This window comes from Homo sapiens, chromosome 5 (genome assembly GCF_000001405.40).
Source record: "Homo sapiens chromosome 5, GRCh38.p14 Primary Assembly".
Classification (NCBI taxonomy): domain Eukaryota; kingdom Metazoa; phylum Chordata; class Mammalia; order Primates; family Hominidae; genus Homo; species Homo sapiens.
Genome location: NC_000005.10, coordinates 138,069,048 through 138,096,779, shown reverse-complemented (window position 1 = coordinate 138,096,779; position 27,732 = coordinate 138,069,048). Strand labels below are relative to the sequence as shown.

The window sequence follows — 27,732 nt, the reverse complement described above, 5'->3', positions numbered from 1 at the left end:
CCGGAAGCTTGAGGTTGCAGTCAGCCATGATCATGCCACTGTACTCCAGCCTGGGCAACAGAGTGAGAACCTGTCTCAAAAACAAAAAAAGAAAGAAATGAACTTTGGCCATGGAGAAATGCAAGTGGGGCAATCAGAGCTCTGTGAGACCAAGAATAAATAGATTCTTCAGACACATGAGGGAAAGAGGTGAAGGCAGTTGAGGCTTGAAAAGGATGTCTGACTCATACCCCACCTAACTCCTCACAGAAACTCAAGTTCATGTATCTGAAGACAGTCTGGGAAAAAGAGACAACTGGTGAAAAACTGAAGTAATTGGCTTATTTCTTTTGGCGAATGGGTCTGTTTGAAGGCCTCAAATCCATAATATGAAGTCCTAGGAGACGCCAGTTTAAGATGTAATAGTATTAATTCAGGGTAGACGTGAGCAAATGCTCTGGTAAGCACTTTGTCCTGGGTAGGGAAGGACTGGCTTTCCCCTTCCTGACAGTCTTTCAAAACAGGATGTACAGTGTGTGCCTCTTTTTTTTTGGCTTTAGGAGCTCTCCTGTTAAGAAGCAGGTGGCTGAATTAAGTGATCTCTTATAGACTGCAAGAAGCCGATGGCAATTAAATGACAAGGGACCTTCTCAAGATCACTGAGTCCCATCACAGATATGCATGGGTACCTGAGAGTCTGAGAGGAATGTGGGAATGAGTTTGGGTACCTGGTGCACCACTGGGCCTTCCCCACCCACTTCCTACCCACATCCTCACTTCCCCTGCCCATCGTTTCACTGGTCGCTTGCTGACCAAGTGTAGTGGGAGGCCTCCCAGACGCCTGGCCTAATTCCTTCAGTTCTTTCCTTGGATCATCACATATCCTTTTCCTGATGATGCTCCATGAGAAGGGCAGCCTAGCAGGGCAGGCAGAGCACCAACCTTGGAGGCTGTCCAGGGCCCTGGAGTCTACTCTTTGCTCCTCTGCGATCTCACGTGCTGATAGGGGCAGGATACTTTCCTCCTCCAGGCTCTGCTTGCCTTCAGTGGTAGGGAATGCTGCAGGATTGGGTGGTTTAGAGCTCTATTCCTACCCAAAGGTCTTTAACCTCTTCTAGAAGCCTTTGATCTGGCCCTTGCTTTCATTTTCCCCCAATCTGAACATCTTTATCTAGGTCCAGGGTCACTGCCTTTTGTCATCAATAGGATTATGAGTAGTTTGTGATGTGGGGCTAGAAACGTTCGTTTTTCTCTGAAGCCTGTTTTTCCTTTCTCTATCTTCTAAAATAAACAGCCCTCCTTTGACATTCCCTCTTGAAACTTTGACCTGTAATGTAGACCATAATGGTTAGTTTTTTCTTTGGGTACCCCCTGGAGAACCAGGATTCTGCCCCCACAAATCAGCAGGAGCCAGGCTTTCTGCTTTATCATTCTAAGGAAGGCCTTTGCAAATCAAAAGTTAGGTTTCTTCATTCTGGAGAAAGGCTGAGAAATATGATTCCCTTGCTTGGTGAAGAGGGAGGAGAGGACACCTTTCATTGCATATGAATGGTAGTCATTCTACAAAACTGTCATGATGGTTAAGAATGTGGCCAGGGATCCCTGGACTGCTATAGTGTAAGTGGTGTAAAAGAAAGAGTATGGATTTATGAGGCAGTAGTAGCCTGAATTTAAATTCACCTCCCTGCATTTAATTTTAGGTTGGGGTGCTTAACCTCTCTCTGAGCCAGTTTCCTCAGTAGTTGGAAAGGAATAATTGTAACTCTTTAATTGGATTGGCCTGAGGATTGAAGGAGACGATATCTGTTAAGCACCTGACATTTAGTAGGTGATCAATTACTTCCTTTCCACTCTAGTTTCCCTAACCACTTACTCACCTGCCAGCAAGCCTGAGTAGATTGGCAGTGAACCAAAGGAGACCCGGGGAACAGGACTCAGGGTTTTCTTAGGAGCTCCTAATTCTGCCCACATCAGAGAGCAGATGGGAAGGAAAAGAAGGAAGAAAAGAAAAAGACAAAAGAGATAAAGATTTGTAGGGGTCTGGCAAGCATAAGCATATTTATTTTCTTTCTTTCCTTCCTTCTCTTTTTCTCTTTTTCTTTCTTGTTTTAAAACTTTTTTTTTTTTTTTTTTGAGACAGGATCTCATTCTGTCACCCAGGCTGGAGTGCAGTGGTGTGATCACAGCTCACTGCAGCTTCGACCTCCCAGGCTCAGTGGATCCCGCTACCTCAGCCTCTGGAGTAGTTGTGACTACAGGTGCATGCCACCATGCCTGGCTAACTTTTTGGTATTTTTTGTAGAGAAGGGGTTTTGCCATGTTGCCCAGGCTGGTCTCTAACTCCTGGACTCAAGTGATCTGCCTGCCTCGGCCTCCCAAAGTGTTGGGATTACAGGTGTGAGCCACCACACTTGGCCTCTTTTTCTTTCTTTCCTCTTTTTTTTTTTTTTTTGTTGTTGTTGTAGAGATCGAGTCTCGCTGTGTTACCCAGGCTGGTCTCAAACTTCCTGGCCTCAAGTGATTCTCCCGCCTTGGCCTCCCAAAAGCATATTTTCCTTTTAATCTAGACTGAGCAAATACAGAATTCCATTGTCCAGGCGAAGTGATGCTGTGCTTGGATTTACTGAACTAGGGGAATAGGCTCATGGACAGGTTTCCCTCATTGAATTGATCACTTTTTCAGCAGGTTTACAAGATCCATCATCAGATCGTGGCCAATCTGCCTGTCTTGGGCCCTTAATCTATGGAAACGGGGTTTTACTGTTCTGTCACCTTAATGATAGCCAGCTTGTTAAGGATGAACCAAAAGGGAAGGGATATAGGGCTGTAACTGACAAATCTGAATGAGGCTGTGTTGCCTTGGAATGAATCCTTGGCAGGAAGGCGATGGATGTAGAGAAATCCAAATTCCTGTTGTTTCTGGCACAGGGTCCATGTGGGAAGATTGGTTGGTGTGACTGATAGCTCTGAAGGTAAGATGGATGAGGGTGGGAAAGGCTTGGAAGGAGAAGAGACTAGGAGACTATGAGTTTTTTGGGGCAGCAGACAAACTTCAAGGAATTCCCATTGCCTGAGATTTCTTGGTGAAAACCTCTGATATAAGCCCGCAGTAAACAAAAGGCTTGTTCTCCTGGAATGACCTTTTGAACAGGGCAGCAGGGATGGTTTTGCTTCTGAAAATCCCTGCCAAGATTATTGGGGTATGTCAGTAAGGTCCTGGGGAAGATGTCAAAGCCTCAGGTGCCTGGGTTCTTTGGATGGAGATTCAGTTAGGAATCTAGTGTGGGGGGGGGAAATCTAGTGTGTTCATTTCTCTAGCACAGGGTCGCAACTCAGGTTTCGGGTGGGACGCTTTGACATCTATATTTATTGAGGGTTTAACCTCTGTGCTAGATAATTTTATTTTTGCTTTTTCTCTGAGCCTCAGGGAAATAATCTTCTTTTGGTTGCCTATTTCCATTCCTCCTTCCATGACCACCAAGCAGCACACACCACACACATTTTCTTTCTCTGTCACTACTGCAGTGTGCTTTTTAACTTTCCATTGAAGGAGAGACAGAGAGGAAATCTGTCATTTCCTTGACATAGGCTTCGCTTTTATGTATCTGTCCTTATATCTATTCTCTGACATCTGTGGTAGTTTTAAATGTTTCTCTTGAGATGCCAGCTTCCTTCATGAACATTTCACCTTCCTTTTCACTAAAAAACAAGATTGGTTATTCCTTTTTGGCATTAAAATAAATAACACATTAATTCTTTCTGATGACAAAAAATATTTATTGTAGGCAAACGTAAAAATACAGAAAAACACAAAAGGAAAACAAACCACTCTATTTTGGTATCACATAGTGGCAAATATTTGCACATTGCCACAAAAACAAAATTGGATTCATCCTGAACATGCCATTTTGCAATCAACTTTGTTCAGTTAATTCTATCATGCGTGCTTTCCATATTACTAAGTATTTCTCAAGAATATTTTAGTGGCTAATAGTCTACTGTAAGGTTATGATTTACTTGTTTATCCTACTTTGAACACTTAAATTGTTTTCTAATTTAAAACAATAAGCTAGGGTTTTTTTCCCATTTTTGGTGATCATTTTTGCTTTTTATTCAACATATTCAAAATATCTCCTCCAGGCAGGGTGCAAGCCTGTGCAGACAGCAGAGATTCCCAAGGCTGAGATATTCAGATTTAGGAAACCAGCGGCTAAGCTCCCAGGGCTCTCCTTATGGGAAACTACCCCTCCTCCAAAGATTACCATTGGAAGATGTGGAAGTGCAAATGCAGGTAGGTAGAATCCACAACTCTTTTTGTCTCTTGCCCTGGGGCCCAGGTCTTGGTGTACAGACACCCCAGGATGCCCAAGTTAAGAGGGCAAACACACTTTGAATATGGCCCAAGTTCAAAGGGCTTCCTTACTCCCCAAGTTACCTAGGTTGCATTAAAATAACACTTTCTAATTCTGGGAGTCTGTATTGTTTTCCTGTTGACCAGTGTCTGGGTCTCAATTTTTTGTTACCTGCCAAACACTGAAATCAAGGGAGTTGCATATTTCTAGTTTCTCCTTTATCCTGGTGGATTATTGGGATACAGAAGAAGGGTTTCTTATTCCCTTTTTGATCTTAAGGTTTCCAAAGGGAGTAATAGAAGTCCCAGCTGGATATATCTTAGAAGCATTTATGGCAAAATACAGTTGAGTTCTCAATCTGGGAAAACAACAGAAGAGTCCCCAGCTCTCTGAGGAGCATCGCTCTTGTGGGACCTTGTCTGGGTAGGTCATAGTCACCTGTCCACTGACTGCCATGATTGCCTTTCCATGGCTCCAGAGACGGTTTATGAGCTGCAAAAACCCCCAGGTTATACTGGGTGCTGGTTTCCCCAGGCGTGGGTGGGAAGAATTTATTTTCTTTTCTCTTTATTATTTATTTATTTATTTATTTATTTATTTATTTATTTATTTATTTATTTTTTAGTCAGGGTCTCAGTTCTGTTGCCCAGGTTGGAGTGCAATGGCACAATCACACCTCACTGTAGTCTCGAGCTCCTGGGCTCCAGTGATCCTCTCACTTCAGCCTCCCAAGTATCTAGGACTACAGGCAAGTGCCACCACACCTAGCTAATTTTTAAATTTTGTGTAGAGATGGTGTCTTTCTATGTTGTCCAGGCTGGAGGAAGAGCTTTTCAAAAGTGCATACTTGGGGGATAAAAAATCCAACACTCTAAAACTTTCCAGTAGGCAGATATGTGGTCTTTACCTCATTTATCAGCATAGATTTGTAGCCACAGGCTGCTCTTCAGAAGTCTGAACAGAACTCTTTCGTTTTTTGCTTCTATTCTCCTGATTCCCAGCAGCACAGCTGGGTTGGACATGGTCTGAAATTTAAAGGAACAAATACTTTGAAGGTCCCTCTAGATATAGACCCCAAACCAAACTCTCCCTGTAGAAAGCTGCATAAGTACAGGCACAAAGATGGGAAAGTAGTTTGCAGGAAAGATGAAATGGGGGTCTGCCAAAGTCAGGAGGCCCAGGTTCCAATTTCAGCCCCGCCAGGAATATGCTGTAGAATCTTGGGCCTCCATTTTCCCCACTGATAGCAGATATCATGAGGACTACAGACCAAAACTGCAATTTTCCGATTGCTTTCCAATCTGTTCTCTCTAAGAGAGAAGCTATGTCCCCTTCCACTGATGCAATTAATCAAGTGAACTTGTGTGGGGTATTATCAGGCACTGCCCTTACCCAGGGACTGGGCACTGCCTGGGGAGCGTGCGCAGTAATACTTGCTCACCACATGCCTACACTGGTCACACTTGACCGTACAGCACCACTGGAATTTGCAGTTACAGCTGCTTATGACCTCAGTTTTCCTCTCTTCCACCTGCAGCCCACACTCAGTGCACAGGCGCCCACAGCTACGTCGCTCCCACCTGGATGTGTTGTGGCTGTTCTGTAGGCACTCACGACCCTCTGTGCCATAGATGCCCAGGCTGGAATTGCAGGTACAGTAATCTGGTGATTCCTCTAAAAAGATCAGTTCCGCCTCTGCGCTAGGAAGGAAGGCCTCAGCGGGCACCCAGTGGCCCTCGGCGCTGTTCCCAGCTCTCAGCTGCCGCTTATCCATTTCAATTTTCAGCGCCTGGTCATACTTGGCCTTTAGGTAGTCTCCCATCTCCCGGAATTCAGCCAGCTGCAGCCAGCATGTCTGTATGCTGCAGCTCCCAGAGATGCCATGACATTTGCATGTCCTTTTCATGGTGGCTCTCACTGCCTTCATAGAGAGAACACAAAAGAGAATGGCTCTGAGTAGGGAAGACCAAAGGTTAGTGATTAAAGGGAATGTTTTAGAGCTGTGTTTCTTGACTTTAAAGGAGCATCAGAATTATTTGGGGAAGCTCACGAAAAATATTTATTCCTCGACCCTACCTCAGATCTTCTCAATGAGGATATTCAGTGGGGAAGGGGCTGGTACTGGTGATTTTAAAGCTTCCCTGGGTGATTCTGATGGAGAGCCAGGCAAGAGCTGAGAAGGTTACTAGAGTCCAGAAACCTCTGCTCCAGGCTCAACTGTATCACTTGTCAAGCTTTTCTCTATCTGCCCAGCTGGAATAAGAATTGGATATAATAATAATCAAGGAAGTACTATGTAAATTATAAAGGAAACTATGATAATAGCCACAGTTACTGTCTTGAGGCTGGGCATGAGAGTATTTTGGGGGGTTTGGATTTGTCCTCTGGGTCTTCTCTGAGAGGGGAGGGAGCTCCTTGAGTCTGAACACTTATACCCCCAAGGCAATGAATTACCCATGGTTGTACTTGCTTAAAAAACCTCTTCCTGGCTGGATGTGGTGGCTCATGCCTATAATTCCAAGACGTTGGGAGGCTGAGGCAAGAGGATCGCTTGAGCCCAGGAGGCCAAGACCAGCCTGGGCAATATGGGGAAACCTCATCTCTACAAAACCCACAAAAACTAGCTGGGCATAGTGGCAAGCACCTGTAGTCCCAGGTTCTCAGGAGGCTGAGGTGGGAGGATGGCTTCAGCCTGGGAGGTGGAGGCTGCAGTGAGCCGAGATGGCACCACTGCACTTCAGCCTGGGAGACAGAGTAAGACCCTGTCTCAAAAAAACCCCAAGCCCAAAAACCCCTTTCCCCCTTTCCCTGGGCAACCAGGATATCTAGGTATAGGTTCACAGGAAATTTCTATGCTTTTGGCTCTAAATCCAACTTGTTTCCAGATTTGTGTTCAGAATACTCCAGAGACTGCCACCCCACTAGAAGTCTTGGGGGAGAGTTTGACACTCCAGAGAAGCCTAGATCAATCCCAATTCCCCACAGCCCAGACAGACTTTAGGACACAAGGCTGGACAACAAGGCCCTGTTAATTTACTAGAACATGCAGTTGAAGTGATAAAAATTTAAGTCATAGAAGCAAGGCCTCGGTTCTGTGTTCTCAGAAGCCCGCGTGTGGAGGGGCAGAGCAGAACATACAATGACAAGAGGACTCAGTGAGAAGATCTGAGTTCACTGCCTGTCTCTGACACTTATTAGTTGCCTTGGACAAGCCACTTGGCTCAGATTTAATTGGTTTTGTCATCCAGAGAATGCGGGTAGCCATCTCAATCTGGCTGGGTAGTATGAGGAAAGAACGTATAAGACAGCTCTTGGTAAATTGTGAAGGGCCGGGCAGATGTGAAGCTGTAGAAATACTGGCCACAATGCCTATACCCACCAGTCTGCCGGCCCTGTTGTTGTGAAGATTCATCAGGGCTCTGGCATCCTTCCCCTTCTCCAAACTGTCCACAAAGAGTTTGGAGATCCTTTCCCCAAATTCCACATTGTCGCTGCAGCCTCCCCAGATCCAGCCATGGCCTCCTATATACAAGGACAGAATAAGTTCTCCGTGTAGCTCCATGCTCAGTCCCAGTCACCCGCCAAACCACCCCCAAGAGCCCTAGAGTGTAAAGCTATGGCTGAAGGTGAGACAGGGAAATGGAGGTGCTTGGGGTGGGTGGGAGTCCTGTTGCCAAAGCCAACTGCCCACCCTTCAGACACTTCCCAGCCATAAGCAATTAGTCTTCTATACCCACAGTAAAAGTAGGTACACTGGGGGCTAACAGATGCTCTCAAAGGTTCACTGCAGCTTGGCCAGGCGTGGTGGCTCACGTCTGTAATCCCAGCACTTTGGGAGGCCAAGGCAGGCGGATCACGAGGTCAGGAGATCAAGACCATCCTGGCTAACACGGTGAAACCCCATCTCTACTAAAAATACAAAAAATTAGCCGAGTGTGGTGGCGGGCACCTGTAGTCCCAGCTACTCGGGAGGCTGAGGCAGGAGAATGGCGTGAACCTGGGAGGTGGAGTTTGCAGTGAGCTGAGATCGCGCCACTGCACTCCAGCCTAGTCGACAGAGCGAGACTCCATCTCAAAAAAAAAAAAAAAGGTTCACTGCAGCTCAAACATTCTGGAATTCTGCACCATTATTCTACAATCATCTCGTAAAGGCTACTACCTCCTTCATTAGTGATAAATCTGAGTAAGTGTCTTAGGTAATCTGTAAATTGCTGAGTAGCTCTAGATTATGGATGAACCATTCCAAGCCTGAAATACCAGGGCTAGCTTTAAGTCTCTTCGGCTTTCTCATTTCTAATTGCCTTGTTGCTTTTAGAGCTACTTGCTAACACCTAGACTCATGGACCCAGGCTCAACTCTGAGAGTGTAAGGCTAGGAGATCCTACAATTGAAGGAGTTGCTGGAGTCTTGAGGTTTAAGGGAGCTGTGTCCCTCAGCCTTTCTCTGGAAGACTTTAGTCTGCACTCAGCTCTGTAGCCCCTCACCTCTTCCCACCCCCATTAGAAAGCTCAACTTACCTGTTTTTCCATTGTTTGACCCATCACAGCCACAGTTTTCGAAGTCACCCATGCTACAGTTCTTGGTGATGATGTACATGACTCCAGCAGAGCTGATAGCATGTATGAAGGAAGTCTCTCTGGTAGCTTTGGAGAGAGAGAGGGAACTGACTGGAAACCTGGACCCTGATTACCCAAAGCAGAGGCTTTGGAAAAATAATACTGTTTATCTCCCTTATCCCCCACTTCCTTTGGGTTTAAGAGGATGCTTTTCTTTCTTTTTTTTTTTTTTTTTTTTTTTTTGAGACTCGCTCTGTCACCAGGCTGGAGTGCAGTGGCATGATCTTGGCTCACTGCAACCTCTGCCTCCCAGGTTCAAGCAATTCTCCTGCCCCAGCCTCCTGAGTAGCTGGCTGGGACTACAGGTGCGTGCCACCATGCCCAGCTAATTTTTGTATTTCTAGTAGAGATGGGGTTTCACCTTGTTGACCAGGATGGTCTCGATCTCTTGACCACATGATCTGCCCTCCTTGGCCTCCCAAAGTGCTGGGATTACAGGCGTGAACCACTGTGGCTGGTCATTTTTTTGTTTTTGTTTTTGTTTTGAGACAGAGTCTCACTCTGTTGCCCAGGCTGGGGTGCAGTGGCATGATCTCGGCTCTCTGCAACCTCCGCCTCCCAGGTTCAAGCGATTCTCCTGCCTCAGCCTCCTGAGTAGCAGGTACATGCCACCACCCCCAGCTAATTTTTGTATTTTTAGTAGAGATGGGGTTTCACCATGTTGGCCAGGCTGGTCTTGAACTCCTGATCTCAGGTGACCCACCTGCCTGGCCTCCCAAAGTGCTGGGATTACAGGCGTGAGCCACTGTGCCTGGCCTATTTTTTTTTAATTATTATTTTATTTTTTGAGATAGGCTCTTACTCTGTTGTCCAGGCTGGAGTGCAGTAGCGCGATCTTGGCTCACTGTAACCTCCGCCTTCCAGGTTCAAGCAATTCTCGTGCCTCAGCCTCCTGAGTAGCTGGGACTATAGGTGCATGCTACCACACCCGGCTATTTTTTTTTTTTTTTTTTGGTCTTTAGTACATATGGGGTTTCACCATGTTGGCCAGAGTGGTCTAGAACTCCTGGGCTCAAGTGATCCACTCACCTTGGCCTCCCAAAGTGCTGGGATTACAGGCATGAGCCACCGCACCTGGCCTATTATTATTGTATTAGAAATAGGGTCTCACTATGTTGCCCAGGCTGGACTTGAACTCCTGGGCGCAAGCAATCCTCCCGTCTCAGCCTCCCAAAGTGCTGGGATTACAGGTGTGAGCCACTGCATCCAGCCAATGCTCTTCTATTTGAAAGAACAATGCATATTTTTTCAGCCTCCTTCCTTCATCCAGGCAGGAATGAACATCCCTATGTTAACCAATGGGGAAAGTAAAAACCAGAGATAGAATGATGAGGCCAATGTAATCCCAGCACTTTGGGAGGTTAAGTTGGGTGGATTGCTTGAGCTCAGGAGTTCGAGACCAGCCTGGGCAACATGACGAAACCCTGTCTCTACAAAAAATACAAAAATTAGCCGGGCATGGGGGTGCATGCCTATAGTCCCAGCTACTCAGGAGGCTGAAGTGGGAGAATTGCCTGAGCCTGGGAGGCAGAGGCTGCATTGAGCCAAGATCGCGCCACTGCAAACTAGCTTGGGTAAAAAAGTGAAACCCTGTCTCAAAAATAAATAAAGAAAGAAAGAAATAAAGAATGATGAGAACAAGACCACTTTCCAATTGTGGTGTTGGGATCGGGACCTTGCCCTCTTAGAGTCCAGCCTAGACCTCTGTCCACTAGCCACTGCTGCTAGTCTTTAGGCAGTGAGACTCAGGGCTTGATGCTGGCCTAGGAGAGAGAGGAGGACCTTTGCTGCTTCTGACTGGGAAGTTTGGGCCATGTAATAATCATAATCATCCTGACTGCCACCTACTGAACTCTTATCTTACTAAACTCTTTACAAACATTGTCACATTTTATTTCTACATACTCCCTATTCTATCTGTATACCCCATGGGGAGACATTTCTTTTGAACCTCATCTTTTTTTTTTTTTTTTTTTTTTGAGACAAGGTCTTGCTCTGTCACCCAGGCAGGAGTGTAGTGGTGTGATCATAGCTCACTATATCCTTGAACTCCTGGGTTCCAGAAATCCTCCCAACTCAGCCTTCCAGGTCTCTGGGACTACAGGCACATGCTACCATGCCGGCTAATATTTTTACTTTTATTTTTAGTAGAGACGAGGTCTTGCTATGTTGCCCAGGCTGGTCTCGAACTCCTGAACTCAAGCGATCCTCCTGCCTTAGCCTTCCAAAGTGCTGGGATTATAGGCATGGTTCCAACACGTGCTTAGCCACTTTCTCCGTCTTCTTTACTCTCGTTCCCCTAACTATTCTCAGGTGAATGTTATCTTCAAAAATGACATGCAAACTACGGCACACAGTTACAAATGGGTGCACGTGCACACCCATACACACACATAGACACACACCCCACCTGAGGCACAACTCAATGTGACGTCTCAGCTTTTCTGTTGAGATTTTATGGCAGTTAGCCATGTGAAACTTCCTCAGGAGCTGCAAACACACAGCCCTTTCCCCATTTTTATTTCATGCAACTCAGTGCAAGATCAGTGTGTACAAACGCACAAATATAGGCATGCATTTAAAAAATAGAGTAATTTCCGCTGGGCACGGTGGCTTACGCCTGTAATCCCAGCACTTTTGGAGGCTGAGGTGGGTGGATCACCTGAGGTCAGGAGTTTGAGACCAGCCTGGCCAACATGGTGAAACCCCATCTCTACTAAAAATACAAAAAATTAGCCAGGCATGTTGCATGCCTGTAATCCCAGCTACTCGGGAGGCTGAGGCAGGAGAATCACTTGAACTCCGGAGGCGGAAGTTGCGGTAAGCCGAGATTGCGCCATTGCACTCCAGCCTGGGCAACAGAGTGAGACTCCGTCTCAAAAAAAGAAAAAAAAAAAAGAGTAATTTCCTACATTTATCTCATACATAGAGACACCTCATACCCACCTCATTCAACCCATAGGATACTTCTGATGAACTAAACAGAACTGGCCTTACTGACCCAAATGACAAATCTGGGGCTGAGAGAGGGTAGGTAATTTACTCAAGGCCACACAGCAAGGAAATGGCAGGTCAGCAGGTCACTGGCAGCATTTTTATTTCACTGTGCAATACATGTCACACATATACACATACTGCAAGCCCCACTCCATTCACATATATACCCCTTGTACAGGTGAGTCCCACACAAACTTACCACTTCTCAGCCTGTTGTGGGTGGAGAGCTGAAGAGCATTTTCAGGGCAGTTCCAGCGTTCCCAAGCAAACTGGAACTTGCACTCCTCGATGCCACTCTGGGCACCCAAGGCCACACTAGTCGTGTAGGTCAGATAGGCCTGGCAAAGGGAAAAGGGCTGTGAGCTTCTGCCCGGTATGGGTCATCTGTGGTTGGGGGAGCAGGCAGGACTCAGATGGGCCAGCTCTCCATTAAGAATCAACCATGGGTTCCTCTGGGTGAGGGGCTCTGGCACTGTCCCCGCCCCTCTTTTCTCCAGAAGAGTCCCCTTAGGGCCCTCAGTGGGTAAAAACAGAAGCTGGAGATCATCCTACCTTGGGACCTGTTATCAGGAAATTGTTCACTGACCTACCAAAAAGAGAAAAAGTGAGGCAGAGGTGAATGGGGATGAGACAATGGGGGCCTCCTTGGCAAGGAGTGAGGGTTGGGAAAGGACTTACCAGGCAGAGGCACTGAATGCAGCACAGCATATGCCCAGAGCTGCCCAGAGCATAAACAGGTTCCCCATCGCCCTGCCTACCCCAGTGGACCAGGTCCAGCTCAGGGCCAAGTCCAGAGAAGTGAGGAGAGGGCAGGGTCTTCCTCAGTATTTATGTGAGAAAATTCTGAATGTCCAAGGGAGGAAATCAGCAGCTCTTCTCATTTGTTCCTAACTGGCAGGGCTGCAGGAGCCACCGGCCCAGTGGGGGATCTGGGAGGAGGGACTCAGTTTTCGCCAAAAGCCCCGCCCTGCCCAGCCCCTCCAGCCCTTCTTCCCTCCCAGAATGAGAAGGAGGCTGCTTTTCTCCTATACGTGAGATTTCTTTCTTCTATATGTCAATTTTGTCTCTTCCTGCTTCTTTGGCCCATTTCTCAGAATCATGTAGGCCAGAGCAGGCTGGGTCCTTAACCCTGAAGGCAGGTCACCTATTCTTGGAGCTACAGTGTCCTCATCTGTCAGTGAGAGCCCACTCTCTGTCCTGCCATCCTCCCCAAGGTGTTAATAATCATAAAGCAACTCCATCTGGGGCTGCTTCCTACTCATTTACCTAAACCAGTGAGTGCGCCATCCCTACCACTTCCTTCAAGGCTGTGAGGTGATGGAGCTGTGGGACTATGGAGCAGGAACACTTCAGAGTCCATCTCTGCAACAGTCCCTTCCACCACATTCTAGCAACTGCTGGGAAATTTCCTTAATTCCTAGCAAATCTATCCTTTTATATCTGAGGGTTACAACTCCAGTTAGTTGATTTTTTATATATCTGAGAACCAACCTTAGGGCCACCCAGGGTTATATTTGGGAAGACTGATGCCTTTCTCTTTTTTTTTTTTTTTTGAGACAGAGTCTCTCGCTCTGTCGCCCAGGCTGGAGTGCAGTGGTGCAATCTCAGCTCACTACAACCTCTGCCTCCTGGGTTCAAGTGATTCTCCTACCTCAGCCTCCCAAGTATCTGAGACTACAGGTGCCAGCCACCACACCCAGCTAAATTTTGTATTTTTAGTAGAGAAGGGGTTTCGCCAGTTGGCCAGCCTGGTCTTGAACTCCTGGGCTCAAGTGATCTGCCCACCTTGGCCTCCCAAAATGCTGGGATTATAGGCATGAGCCACTGGGCGTGGCCCTGATGCCTTTCTTTCTGATACTACTTTGTTACTAGGACTTCAGCTCCTTAGGTGGGAATCTGTCTTTTATTTTATTTTATTTATTTATTTATTTATTTATTTATTTATTTATTTATTTATTTTGAGATGGAGTCTCACTCTGTCGCCAGGCTGGAGTGCAGTGGCATGATCTCGGCTCACTGCAACCTCCACTTCCTGGGATCGAGCAATTCTCCTGCCTCAGCCTCCGGAGTAGCTGGGATTACAGGTGTGCGCCACCATGCCCAGCTAATTTTTGTATTTTTAGTAGAGACGGGTTTCACCATGTTGGCCGGGATGGTCTCGATCTCTTAATCTCGTGATCCACCTGCCTCGGCCTCCCAAAGTGCTGGGATTACAGGCGTGAGCCACCATACCCAGCCTTATTTTATTTTATTTTTTGAGGCAGAGTTTCACTCTTGTCACCCGGGCTGGAGTGCAAGTGTGCCATCTCAACTTACTGCAACCTCCACCTCTGTGTTCAAGTGATTCTCCTGCCTCAGCCTCCCCAGTAGCTGAGATTACAGGCATGTGCCACCATGTCCAGCTAATTTTGTACTTTTAGTAGAGACAGGGTTTCCCTATGTTGGCCAGGCTGGTCTCAAACTCCTGACATCAGGTGATCCACACGCCTTTGGCCTCCTGAAGTGCTGGGATTACAGGCATGAGCCACCGCACCCAGCCAGGAATGTCTTTTAGGTTCACTTTCGGTTCTTAGAGCTTAAGAAGGCACCTGGATGAACAAACGAAAGACCCTGTGACCCCTAGTGGGCACCATTAGGTATGCTTGGGGACTAGAACAAAAGGTGGGAAAGTCCTTCTTGGTTGCTGAAGCTCTTTCCTAAGGCTGGAGAAGGAAGTCTAGAGAAGTTCAGAGGAAAGCATAGATGGAAAGTCACAGTTCTGACTCCATCCTGTGACCATTACAACATCCAGATCACTTCCCAGAACTTTGGACCTGGTTTGGGTGGGAAGTGGAGCTCAGAGATCCCCCCACCAAAGGAGTTCCAGGGGCCAAAGAGTCCCCAGGTGTCTTTAGGGCATACTCCAAGTATGGGCCAGGCTTGGCGTCGGTCTGCAAACTGACTGTTGTCCTTCTGACATAAGATAATTACAAAAATAGAAGTGTTTAGAAATTTTTATAGCAATTTGGAGCAATTTTAGATATGCTAAACCTAGGAGGAAATTTGGGCTCTTATTTTGTATGTAGTTTTTTGTTTCATTTCTTCAGAAGGATGAGGACAAAAAGTCCTAATGGACTAAAGCTCTGCCTCCCAGCCCCCCGCAAGCTCTCTTCCTTTGATTGCTTGTGGGCCTCTCTGCTTGGGGAAAATAGGTGTCCCAGACTTGAGTTAAGCGAGAAAAGCCCACTGAGTTAGCCTCAGCGGCCTTTTCTCTGTCTCCTACTTTTCCCAATCAAGAATCTAATTTAACTTTCACTTCTTAAGACAGCAGGGTTGATTTCCATGGCATTCACTCTGGGGTCAGAACTGGGTTAGTGATAGCTCCGAGGAAGTCCCCTGCCACCTCGAAAGAGTTTTAGGAGTGACTCCGCTTTCACTTCCTGTGTGTGAGTGACTGGGTCTTATGCTTCTGTGTTCTCCGCTGCACCTGGCATTTAATTGGTACTCTACAAAAAAATACTCTTTTTTTTCTAGGAAGCAGAGGGGAAGATAGTTTTTTGTATGCAAACTGTGCTCGCTCCTGCTCAGATTCTATAAAGATCATATAGTTTTTCTTTTTTTTTTTTTTTTTGAGACAGAGTCTCGCTCTGTCGCCCAGGCTGCAGTGCAGTGGCGCGATCTCCGCTCACTGCAAGCTCCGCCTCCCTTGTTCACGCCATTCTCCTGCCTCAGCCTCCCGAGTAGCTGGGACTACAGGCGCCCGCCTGTATTGAATTTTTAGTAGAGACAGGGTTTCACTGTGTTCGCCAGGATGGTCTCGATCTCCTGACCTCGTGATCCACCCGTCTCGGCCTCCCAAAGTGCTGGGATTACAGGCGTGAGCCACTGCGCCCGGCAAGATCATATAGTTTTTCTAAATGGAAGTGAGAATTTATAGAGAGGCCTCTGCTCCAGGTATCAGGAGCCCTGGGCTTGTTGTGTGACCTTGGGCAAGATATTTACCACCATCTGGACTTAGATTCTTCATCTCCAAAATGAGGGAGTGAGGAAAATGTTGAAGGTTGAATGACCACTAAAGACTTTCCCAGCTGGGCTGGGCATGGTAGCTCACATCTATAATCCCAGCCCTTTGGGAGGCTGAGTGGGGAGGATCGCCTGAGCTCAGGACTTTGAGGCTACAGTGAGCCATGATTGCGCCACTGTACTCTAGCCTAGATGGCAGAATGAGACCCTGTCTCTAAAAAAAAAGTCCAGGGCTCACTCCTGTAATTCTGTAATCCCAGCACTTTGGGAGGCCAAGGCAGGCAAATCACCTGAGTTTAGGAGTTTGAGACCAGCCTGACCAACATGGAGAAACCTCATCTCTACTAAAAATATAAAAATTAGCCAAAAAAAAAAAAAAAAAAAAAAAACAAGATTTACAGAGTTTATGAATCCCAGAGGTGATTGTAGGCCAGAAATCTTATCTTCTTCAGTTGCGAGCGTTGGAATTATCTTTTTTTGTTTGTGTGTGCGGTTTTTTGTTTTTTTTTTTTTTGAGAAGGAGTCTCTGTCACCCAGGCTAGAGTGCAGTGGTGCAATCTCAGCTCACCACAACCTCTGCCTCCTGGGTTCAAAGCCATTCTCATGCCTCAGCCACCCAAGTAGCTGGGATTACAGGTGCTCGCCTCCACGCTTGGCTAATTTTTGCATTTTTAGAAGAGACTGGGTTTCACCGTGTTGGACAGGATGGTCTCAAACTCCTGGCTTCAAGGGATTTGCTCACCTCGGCCTCCCAAAGTGCTGGGATTACAGACGTGAGCCACTGTGCCCGGCCAGAATTATCTTATACATCTTTGAATCCTGTAGTTGACGATTAGATGAGCCTTTAAGATGGATACCTGGAGGATAACCAATGCCTTCTTCAGAGTCCTTTGGAGTGTATCTACATAAGACCCCTGTGCTGGACTGACTAAATTTTTCACTGCAGACAGAGGTTTCCTGGAGAGAATAGTGAGAGGCATTCCACATCAAGTCTACAAATCATTTCTAGTCAACCTGTGTATCAATTTCCTTAATCCCAGCTCTATTGTCTCATTAGCTTTTAAGTAATGATCCAACTCTTGGTTTCTCTCTTGCAGGAATGGAAATCTAGAGCTGAAGACTAGAACAGAAGATGATGGTAGGGACAGATGAGCCTGTGACAAGATAGATTGAATAGTAGTATCTCTAAAGCCCTGGTGTGCTGGTAAATGATTAACAACTGGCTTGGGTGTGGCAGGAGCCTGATTGGTAATATTTGCTAATTTTCATGGTATAAATACTAGAGCATAGTGAATTGCAAACTGCCAATGTAGACTTGGGAAGAGATGTAGTATATCATTATATAATATTTCTGTCATATAGATATAATGGGTATAAATAGCCTTCAGCATAAATGATAGTGAAATTTAGCAAACTAATTAGGAAGTGATGAATTTTGAGTATTTGTTACCTTTGTTTTTAATATAATTATAATTAATATATAATTATTATATAATTATTATATAATTAATATATAATTAATAATAATTATAATATAATTATAAGTTTATATAATTTAATTTTGAATATTGGCTTTATTTAACAACCAGTTTGCAAAATTCCTAAAAATGCAACAGTCGCTCTCAGGAGTGGGTATAAGCTGCCTTCAGCACACCGCTGGAGCCCAGTGTCCTCCCTCTAGGCCACAGGGAGGTAAAGTGGAAAGTGTGGAATTTAACACCCAATAATTGTTTCAGTGATGTGCAGGGCTTTAATTTTTCCTCTTACTACCCGCCTTCATGGAGCTTACTGTCTAGTAACAGGAGATAAGGTATGTATCTATCTATAATGTCAGGTAGAACACGTAAATAGATACGATGAATAAGCATTCACACTTCTGGAAAGGTATTACCAGGTAATCCTGAAGACCCCTTCCACCTCTAATGTTCCAGGATGATGATGAGATTCCAGGAGTCCTAGGGAAGCATTGAGGACTATTATCAATAAAGGATATAACAACGTCACCCTAGCTGTGCCTAGTTTCAGGAAATTCAGAGGCCATTCGTGGAACCTTAGAGTGTCTGAACTAGAGAGTCCCATTTGACAAGGAGGCAACTGAGTCCCATAGAGAGAGAACTTATTGAGGGTTACACAGTGTTTTGGGGCCAAGAGAGCCTGGATTCCAGCATCCTGGTTTGCCCAGGACTGAGAGGTCTCCTATAGTTTAAGGCTTTCAATGTTAAGGCCAGGAGGGTTTTGAGCAAACCAGGATAGCTGGTCACCCAACAGCAAAGGTATACATCCTAGGCCAGTGCTTCTTTCTAAAAGTGCACTTTCACTGAACTTCCCAAATCCTTCGATCCTCAGCATTTCTTTCTCAGGCTCCTTGCAGGGCTCTGAGCCTACAGGGGCTGATTAGACTGTAGGAGCAAGTTGCAGAAGAGCTGAGAGGGAGTAGAGAGGGGGTGGAGGTGACTGGAGAATGCCAAAAGACAAAGAGATAGGATTTCTGACTTTTTACACTTCTCTGCTAATTAGATAAAGGATTGGGGCAGGGGGAGAATGAGCCTCCATGCATATTCTTCTGAGCTGTGACAGGGAGCAGAGTTTAGGGATTTTCTACCCCTGGTCTCCACCCCTCCTCCCTGGAAGCTTCTCACCCCCTGAGGATACTTGACTCCCAGTCCAAATGCCACAGCTGCTTGAGCTCCTGACCCTCCCTTTGGCCCCTTCAATTTAGCCTCAGTAACTTGCCAAGTTCCCCAACAATATGCTCTGGGAAAAAAAGTGGAATACTTCTGTTTTCCCTTTCAGATTCAGGGTTCCAGGTGTGGGGAGGGAAATGAGGTCCTCCTGTGTGAAAATGGCATCAGTTGGTGGTCTGTTGGATGCATGGGCCTGTGAGGACAGAGGCATATGAGGGGGGATCAGTCTGAAAGCCATGACTAGATCTGTTTTGTGTTGCCAAGTATGTTTCTTTCATCAATCTGGGAGCTGCCTAAGGCTGGGCCCTGCCAATCCCAGCCACACAGCGATCGCCCAAGGATAGGGACGTGTTTCTCCCATCAGACTGAGGTACCCAAATGGCAGAGGCCTCATCTTCACCATTAGCCTAGGAAGAGTTAGAGTTGGAGGGGCTCACCCAATACAAGGTTTCAGTTGGCTAAAACCGCTTGTTTTTTATTCCCTCATTGTTTTAAACCTCCATCTCTGTCCTATCCATCTCTGGATAGGACACAGAAGTTATCAATTAATGTTTCTTGATTAATTGTCAAAGAAGAAGGTTTGGAGCTGGTTGTAGGATTTTACTAGTTTTCAGAGAAATATGCATTTATTCATTCCAAAAATATTTACCTACTCGGTTCAGGCCAATACTCAATACTTATGAGTCCAAGATGAATTAGGAGATATTTTCATCCTGTAGAAGCTCTCATTCTGGTCTGAGAGAGAGAGAAGTTTAAATTATTTTTAATAGTACAGTGAAATAAGGAACGTTGGAAAGGTTGGAAGGATGAAAGGGATAAATAAGGAAATGCCATAGAAGGGACTTCTGATGAAGGCCTGCCATCTGCTGGCAGTGAATAGTACAACAGGCTCTTTTGTTGCCATAATGTGCGTTCAGTACTGGAATTTTAGCCATTATCCAGTACCTGCCTAATGGATAGCCAGCCCAGTGATTGGCACTGAGCTGTAAACCTTGTAAAGGGATCTTTGTCTTTGAAAAACTTGCACTATGCTTATGGATGTAAGATATAATCGAAAAAGTCATCAATCAACCAAGCAACACATATTTGAATGTGCACACACAAAAAATACGCTTTTAAAAAAAGCATAGGCCAGGCACGGTGGCTCACCCTTGTAATCCAGCACTTTGGGAGGCTGAGGCAGGAGGATCATGAGGTCATGAGTTCAAGACCAGCCTGGCCAATATGGTGAAACCCCGTCTCTACTAAAAATACAAAAAATTAGCCAGGTGTGGTGGTGCGCACCTGTAATCCCAGCTACTCAGGAGGCTGAGGCAGGAGAATTGCTTGAACTGAGGAGGCAGAGGTTGCAGTGAGTCGAGATCACACCATTGCACTCCAGCCTGAGTGATGGAGCAAGACTCCGTCTCGAGAAAAAAAAAATGTAATTCATGCTTGTTACCAAAAAAATTAAATAAAACATGGAAATATGTAATGTAAAAAATAGGAGTCTCTGACATCCAACTCCCTGTAAGTAATAATTATGAACAGTTTAGTGTGGATTTTTTTTCTCTGCATATATAAATGTTTATATATACATATATAATTTTTTTTTCTTTTTAAAGATGGGGTCTTGCTATGTTGCTCAGGCTGGCTTCAAACTCCTGGGCTCAAGCAATCTTCCCACCTCAGCCTTCTGACTAGCTAGGACTACATGTATGCACCAGTGTGCCAAGCTATATACATATTAATATATTATATTATTATTTGAGATGGGGTCTTGCTCTGTCACCCAGGCTGGAGTGCAGTGGTGCAATCTTGGCTCATTGCAACCTCCACCTCTGGGGTTCAAGCGATTCTTGTGCCTCAGCCTCCTGAGTAGCTGGGATTACAGGAGCCCGCCACCATGCTCAGCTAATTTTTTGTATTTTTAGTAGAGATGGGGTTTCACCATGTTAGCCTGGCAGCTCTTGAACTCCTGACCTCAAGTGAGCCACCTGCCTTGGCCTCTCAAAGTGCTGGGATTACAGGCGTGAGCCACCATGCCTGGCCTTAATTTTCTATGTTCTCTTTCTCTACAGTTATTTCTGGATGTGTAAGGGGGAGGGGATATTGGACCTCCTGCACTAATTTTCTCATTTTCTTAACTTTTATTTCCTGTTTTCCATTTTTTTGTTCTATTGTTTAGGAGAGTTTCTTATCTTTTATTTCCTGTTTTCCATTTTTTTGTTCTATTGTTTAGGAGAGTGCCTCAATTTTATCTTCCCACCATTATGCTGAATTTCTAAAAATTTCTGTATCAAATACTTAATACCTAAGCCTTTTCCCTTACTCTCTGAATATTCCTTTCTTTTTTTTCTTTTTTTCTTTTTTTTTTTTTTTTTGAGATGGAGTCTCACTCTGTCGCCCAGGCTGGGATGTGGTGGTGCAGTCTTGGTTCACTGCAACCTCCGCCTGGTGGGTTCAAGCAATTCTCCTGCCTCAGCCTCTCAAATAGCTGGGATTACAGGCCTGCACCACCACACCTGGCTAGTTTTTGTATTTTTAGTAGAGATGGGGTTTCACCATGTTGCCCAGGCTGCTCTCGAATTCCTGACCTCAGGTGATCTGCCTGCCTTGGCCTCCCAAAGTACTGGGATTACAGGTGTGAACCACCATACCCGGCCTGAATATTTCTTTTTTATCATAGTATGTTCTTATTTCATGATTGCAATATCTTCTCTTAAATCTCTAAGGATACAATTTTTAAAACTTTTGTTTCCTGTTTTATTTCTTCTTCCAAATTCCTTTTTATCTATAATCTTAGAGCCTTTTCTCAAAAGTCTAGTGATGCTTGGCTGTGCATTCAGGCTTAATAATGAGGGACTAAAAGCTCTTTGTATCTGGATGGGGCTTGTTGAATAGCGTGCTTCACTCCAGAGGCATAAGATAGGCTCCTAGCCAGTTCACTGGGGAATCCTAAGCATCAGTATCTTTAAGCCTTTTTTCCAGGGTTAGTTAGTTTTGCCAGAGAGGTCTTTTAGGTCTTTTAGTCTATAACTCAATAGGTGAAAAATATTTAATTTTAACTTGTATTTTTTTATTATTAGTGAGGTGGAGCACCTTTTTATATGTTAATTATCTGTTTATATTTCTTCTTCTATGGAATGATTATGCACATTTTTTTTTGACCACTTTTATTTTACACTTATTTTTCTTACAGATTTGTGGAAGCCAATTATTAACATATTAGAATATGTTGCAAAATTTTTTTTCCTTTGTATTGTTTGCCTTTTTTTTTCTTTTTTTGGAGACGGGGTCATGCTCTATCACCTTGGCTGGAGTGCAGTGGTGTGATCATAGCTCACTGTAGCCTCAAGCTCATAGGCTCAATGAATCCTCCCACTTTAACCTCCCAAGTTGCTGGGATTATAGGCATATGCCACTATGCCTGGCTAATTTTTAGAGATAGGGTCTCACTATGTTGCCAACGCTGATCTCAAATTCCTGAGTTTAATTGATCCTCCTGCCTCAGCCTCCCAAAGTGCTGGTATTACAGTCATGAGCCACTGTGTCCAGCCCAACTTTTAATTTTGAATATGTTGTCTTTTTCTCTAAAGAAATTAAAATTTTTTTTCTGTTTTGGTTAACTTATTCCTTTAAGTATTCTAGGTTTTGAGTCATGAATAGAACAAACTACCTCATTTAAATACGATAAAAATGTTCTGTATTTTCTTTTTCTTTTGTTGTGATTTTATTCTCTAATTATAGACCTTTTATATATGTAACTAACTTTTGTATATTATATGGGGCTTGCCTTTCGTCTATCCCCTGCACCTCATATAGGCAGGCAATTGCCACCCAATTTATTGAATAATTTATAATTTCCCCACTGATTTGAAACGCTACCTGCAGACCGGGCATGGTGGCTCACACCTGTAATCCCAGCACTTTGAGAGGTCGAGATGGGAGGATTGCTTGAGGCCAGGAGTTCAAGACCAGCGCAGTCAACATAACGAGACCTCATCTCTACCTTTTTTTTTTTTTTTTTTTTTTTTGAGATGGAGTCTTGCTTTGTCACTCAGGCTGGAGTGCAGTGGCACGATTTCAGCTCACTGCAACCTCCGCCTCCTGAGTTCAAGCCATTCTCCTGCCTCAGCCTCCTGAGTAGCTGGGAATACAGGCGCATACCACCACGCCCAACTAGTTTTTGTATTTTTAGTAGAGACGGGGTTTCCCCATGTTGGCCAGGCTGGTCTCAAACTCCTGACCTCATGATCTGCCTGTCTCAGCCTCCCAAAGTGCTGGGATTACAAGTGTGAGCCACTGCGCCCGGCTGACCTCATCTCTACTTAAAAAAAAAAAAAAACAATTAAAATTTTTTTAAAAATGAGAAATGCCACCTATTAAATTCTCATACATCCATAGATTTAGCCATGGAATCGCTATTCTATTTCATGTATCTTTGTCTTTTCTTTTGCTAATAATACACTTTTGCCAGGCATGGTGGCTCACCCAGCACTTACAATCCCAGCATTTTAGAAAGCTGAGGCAGGTGGATCACTTGAGGCCAGGAGTTCGAGACCAGCCTGGCCAACATGGTGAAACCCTGTCTCTACTAAAAACGCAAAAAGTTAACCAGGCATGGTGGTACATGCCTGTAATCCCAGCTACTTGGGAGGCTGAGGCATGAGAATCGCTTGAACCCAGGAGGCGGCGGTTGCAGTGAGCAGAGATCGTGCCACTGTACTCCAACCAGGGCAACATAGTGAGACTCTCTCTCAAAAAAAAAAAAACACAATAACAATAATAGACCAGGCGCAGTGGCTCACGCCTGTAATCCCAGCACTTTAGGAGGCCAAGGCGGGTGGATCACGAGGTCAGGAGTTCAAGACCAGCCTGGTCAAGATGGTGAAACCCCATCTCTGCTAAAATTACAAAAATTAGCCAGGTGTGGTGGCAGGCATCTGTAATCCCAGCTACTTGGGAAGCTGAGGCAGGAGAATCGCCTGAAGCCAGGCAGCAGAGGTTGCTGTGAGCCGAGATTGAGCACTCCAGCGGCTGGATGACAGAGTAAGACTCAGTCTCAAAAAAATAAAAATAAAAAAAAAATGCACATTTTACTACTATGTAATCATAGCATTTTTTTTGCTTTTTTGTCATAGCATATTTTACTATTTAATAAAACAAGTGCCTCCTTATTCTTTTCCAGAATTTTCTTGTGTAATACATTTATATCTTTTAGATAAACTTTATAATCAAATTGTCAAATAAAAATCATTGAGATTATAATTGGAATTATTCTAAATTTATTGATAAATTTGAGGAGAAAATTGACATTTTTATAATATTTAATCTTTCCATCCAGTAGCACAGTAGGCCTTTCCCTTTATTCAGATTTTTTCTATGTCTTTCAGAAAACCTTTATAGTCTTTTTCATATAAAGAATCTTTATTTCTGATTTATTTTCTAGCTGGTTATTGCCATTAATGCCAGCAATGTAATGAATTAATACATTTCCTAAGATTGAAAAATCTTTGAATCTTGAGCTAAATCCTAATGGATCATGTGTTTTTCCTTTAATATATTTTTAGATTCTCTTTGCTAATATCCTATTTAGGATTTATGCTCTTTACTCACAAGTGAGATTGGTCTATGCTTTTTTTCTCTTCAAACTAGTTTTGTCAGGTTTTAGTAAAAGGATTTTGCTAGTCCCATAAACTGAAAGATACATTTTCAATTTTCTTCTGTGATCTAGAACAGTTTATGTAAGAGAGGAATTACTCCTCCAGCTCAACAACAACAACAAAAAATACAATTTAAAAATGGGCAATGACTTGAATAGACATCTCTCCAAAGGTGATGTACAAATGGCCAACAAGCATATGAAAAGATGTTCAATGTCACTAATCATTAGAAAAATGAAAATGAAAAAGATAACAATATCATTATTATTTATTATTATTATTATTTTTTGAGACAGAGTTTCACTCTTGTTGCCCAGACTGGAGTGCAATGGCATGGTCTCGACTCACTGCAACCTCTGCCTCCTGGGTTCAAGTGATTCTCCTGCCTCAGCCTCCCAAGTAGCTGGGATTACAGGCACCTGCCATCACACCCAACTAATTTTTGTATTTTTAGTAGAGACAGGGTTTCACCATGTTGGCCAGGCTGATCTTGAACGCCTGACCTCAAGTGATCCGTCCACCTCAGCCTCCCAGAGTGCTGAGATTACAGGCATCAGCCACCACACCCGGCCAAAAAATATGTATTTTAAGTACCAGGCACCAGGTTAGATGCCGGGAATGTATCTATTAACCGGCTGACCAGCACCCTGCCCTCCAGAGCATATCCTTTAGCAAATCAGGCAATAGAAGGTCTTCCTGAGTAAGCAGAGGAGTTTAGACATACCCTGTGAGACACTGCACTCATGTGGCCCTATAATGGGAGCGGATGGAGAGATGTCCTCAGCCTGTGAATGACATGGAAGCGGGATATGCAGAGGAAATGCAAAGTGTTGAAGAGCTAGGTCTCCAACAACAGCATGTGAGCCTCAGCTATGAACCGCAGACTAGAATGAATGCACTGCAGAGGCAGGGAAGTGGTCAGAGTTTCTGAGAAAGTCATTCATTCAGAGAGATGGAAAACTTCTTTTTTTTTCTTAAGACGGAGTTTCGCTCTTGTTGCCCAGCCTGGAGTGCAATGGCGCGACCTTGGCTCACTGCAACCTTCGCCTCCTGGGTTCAAGCGATTCTCCTGCCTCAGCCTCCCGAGTAGCTGGGATTACAGGCATGTGCCACCATGCCCAGCTAATTTTTTGTATTTTTTTTTAAACTTTTTTTTTTTTTTTATTGATCATTCTTGGATGTTTCTCGCAGAGGGGGATTTGGCAGGGTCTCAGGACAATAGTGGAGGGAAGGTCAGCAGATAAACAAGTGAACAAAGGTCTCTGGTTTTCCTAGGCAGAGGACCCTGCGGCCTTCCGCAGTGTTTGTGTCCCTGGGTACTTGAGATTAGGGAGTGGTGATGACTCTTAACGAGCATGCTGCCTTCAAGCATCTGTTTAACAAAGCACATCTTGCACCGCCCTTAATCCATTCAACCCTGAGTGGACACAGCACATGTTTTAGAGAGCACAGGGTTGGGGGTAAGGTCACAGATCAACAGGATCCCAAGGCAGAAGAATTTTTCTTAGTACAGAACAAAATGAAAAGTCTCTCATGTCTACCTCTTTCCACACAGACACGGCAACCATCCGATTTCTCAATCTTTTCCCCGCCTTTCCCCCCTTTCTATTCCACAAAACCGCCATTGTCATCATGTCCCGTTCTCAATGAGCTGTTGGGTACACCTCCCAGACGGGGTGGTGGCCGGGCAGAGGGGCTCCTCACTTCCCAGTAGGGGCGGCCGGGCAGAGGCGCCCCTCACCTCCCGGTCGGGGCGGCTGGCTGGGCGGGGGGCTGACCCCCCCACCTCCCTCCCGGACAGGGCGGCTGGCCGGGCAGAGGGGCTCCTCACTTCCCAGTAGGGGTGGCCGGGCAGAGGCAACCCTCACCTCCCGATGGGGCGGCTGGCCGGGCGGGGGGCTGACCCCCCCACCTCCCTCCTGGACGGGGCGGCTGGCCGGGTGGGGGGCTGACCCCCCCACCTCCCTCCCGGACGGGGCGGCTGGCCGGGCAGAGGGGCTCCTCTCTTCCCAGTAGGGGCGGCCGGGCAGAGGCGCCCCTCACCTCCCGGACGGGGCGGCTGGCCAGGCGGGGGGCTGACCCCCCCACCTCCCTCCCGGACAGGGCGGCTGGCCGGGCGGGGGGCTAACCCCCCCACCTCCCTTCCGGACGGGGCGGCTGGCCGGGCGGGGGGCTGACCCCCACCTCCCTCCCGGACGGGGTGCCTGCCGGGCGGAGACGCTCCTCACTTCCCAGACGTGGTGGCTGCCGGGCGGAGGGGCTCCTCACTTCTCAGACGGGGCGGTTGCCAGGCAGAGTGTCTCCTCACTTCTCAGACGGGGCGGCCGGGCAGAGACGCTCCTCGCATCCCAGACGGGGCGGCAGGGCAGAGGCGCTCCCCACATCTCAGACGATGGGCGGCCTGGCAGAGACCCTCCTCACTTCCTAGATGGGATGGCGGCCGGGCAGAGACGCTCCTCACTTTCCAGACTCATTTTTTGTATTTTTAGTAGAGACAGGGTTTCTCCATGTTGGTCAGGCTGATCTCAAACTCCCGACCTCAGGTGATCTGCCTGCCTTGGCCTCCCAAAGTGCTGGGATTACAGGTGTGAGCCACTGTGCCCAGCCGAGAGATGGAAAACTTCTTAATCTTTTCACAGAGAATTTACATTTAATAAAAGTATAGCCTTTGTTTGGTTTAAGCTGCAGGAATGAAACTCTGATGATGAAATCATTGGCTTGAGTCAGTAGGAAGAAGAGGGGTTTGGTGTAGAGGGGCAGTCAGGGCCATCCCTGAAATCACCTCTTTTTAGGAGCTGTCCACCTCAGAGGCCAGCTCTGACCTTCCATGTGATGTGAGGGATACTGCTTCACTCTCTGGACATCATTTTCTCCACTCAGAAATGGAAGCAGGAGTTCTTGATTTTCCAGAACTGAGGACATTCCCTCTTAACTCCTAAGTGATTATCACCCTGCCTTCCTCTGCAAACTCAGCTTTCCTAGAGAAAACAAGGGAGAGGGGATGCAGGGAAATGGGCAGTAGGCACCCTTAACAATCCTGTGAGGAGTGCTTGCTGTGACAGTGCATATACTAAAATTGGAATGATATAGAGATTAGCATAACTCCTGCATAAGGATGATATGCAAATTTATGAAGCTTCTTAAGTGTAAATTTTGAAAGTCATGGGAAACAGACAAAGGTTCTTCCCAAACCTGGGACCATGCAACTCCCTGGAGACATTTAAAAGAGCACTGGACAGCCAGAACCAACAGGCAGAGTGACCAGCTCATCTTGTTTTCCCCTGGACAAAGTCCTGCGTTCCAGGAAAACTGGGATGGCTGTCACCCCATCAGGAGGCCTAGTCTTCAGCTCTGCATCTGCCATTAACTCCCTTCTCCTCATAGCCTGAGTTTCCTCCTCAATTGTAAAGTAGTATACCTGGACAAGATGATATCTAAGGGTACTTCCAGCCCTGCT

General features: G+C 45.7%; 1 protein-coding gene and 1 pseudogene across 7 annotated transcripts, besides 2 other annotated features; one reads left to right on the top strand and one right to left on the bottom strand.

Moving 5' to 3' along the window:
- Positions 1,022-1,954: an enhancer, noted in NCBI's record as "OCT4-NANOG-H3K27ac-H3K4me1 hESC enhancer chr5:137430515-137431447 (GRCh37/hg19 assembly coordinates)". NCBI's record gives its function as "activates a minimal SCP1, AML or CMV promoter by ChIP-STARR-seq in naive and primed H9 embryonic stem cells {active_cell/tissue: H9 hESC(naive and primed)}" and the evidence as "EXISTENCE:reporter gene assay evidence [ECO:0000049][PMID:30033119]".
- Positions 4,415-19,413, bottom strand: WNT8A (Wnt family member 8A). Of its 7 annotated transcripts, none has more exons than NR_125351.2 (8): positions 12,623-12,747; positions 12,497-12,530; positions 12,144-12,282; positions 8,849-8,974; positions 7,711-7,853; positions 5,724-6,252; positions 5,239-5,421; positions 4,415-4,689 (listed from the first exon to the last, which is right to left on the bottom strand). NR_125351.2 is itself a non-coding variant. In XM_047417692.1 (8 exons), exons 6-8 carry the CDS (start codon positions 8,925-8,927, stop codon positions 5,707-5,709), a joined length of 768 nt encoding a protein of 255 aa, XP_047273648.1. In that variant the 5' UTR covers positions 8,928-8,974; positions 12,144-12,282; positions 12,497-12,530; positions 16,689-16,903; positions 17,838-17,901; positions 19,280-19,413; the 3' UTR covers positions 5,239-5,706. The 7 variants fall into 7 exon arrangements, 6 of the variants coding, with proteins under 6 accessions (XP_047273648.1, XP_016865315.1, XP_047273649.1 ...); XM_047417692.1 differs by lacking the exons at positions 4,415-4,689; positions 12,623-12,747 and adding exons at positions 16,689-16,903; positions 17,838-17,901; positions 19,280-19,413 and having other exon boundaries at positions 5,239-6,252; XM_017009826.2 differs by lacking the exons at positions 4,415-4,689; positions 12,623-12,747 and adding exons at positions 17,838-17,901; positions 19,280-19,413 and having other exon boundaries at positions 5,239-6,252.
- Positions 5,987-6,525: an enhancer, noted in NCBI's record as "H3K4me1 hESC enhancer chr5:137425944-137426482 (GRCh37/hg19 assembly coordinates)". NCBI's record gives its function as "activates a minimal SCP1, AML or CMV promoter by ChIP-STARR-seq in naive H9 embryonic stem cells {active_cell/tissue: H9 hESC(naive)}" and the evidence as "EXISTENCE:reporter gene assay evidence [ECO:0000049][PMID:30033119]".
- RNU6-1148P (RNA, U6 small nuclear 1148, pseudogene) lies at positions 27,322-27,425 on the top strand (annotated as a pseudogene).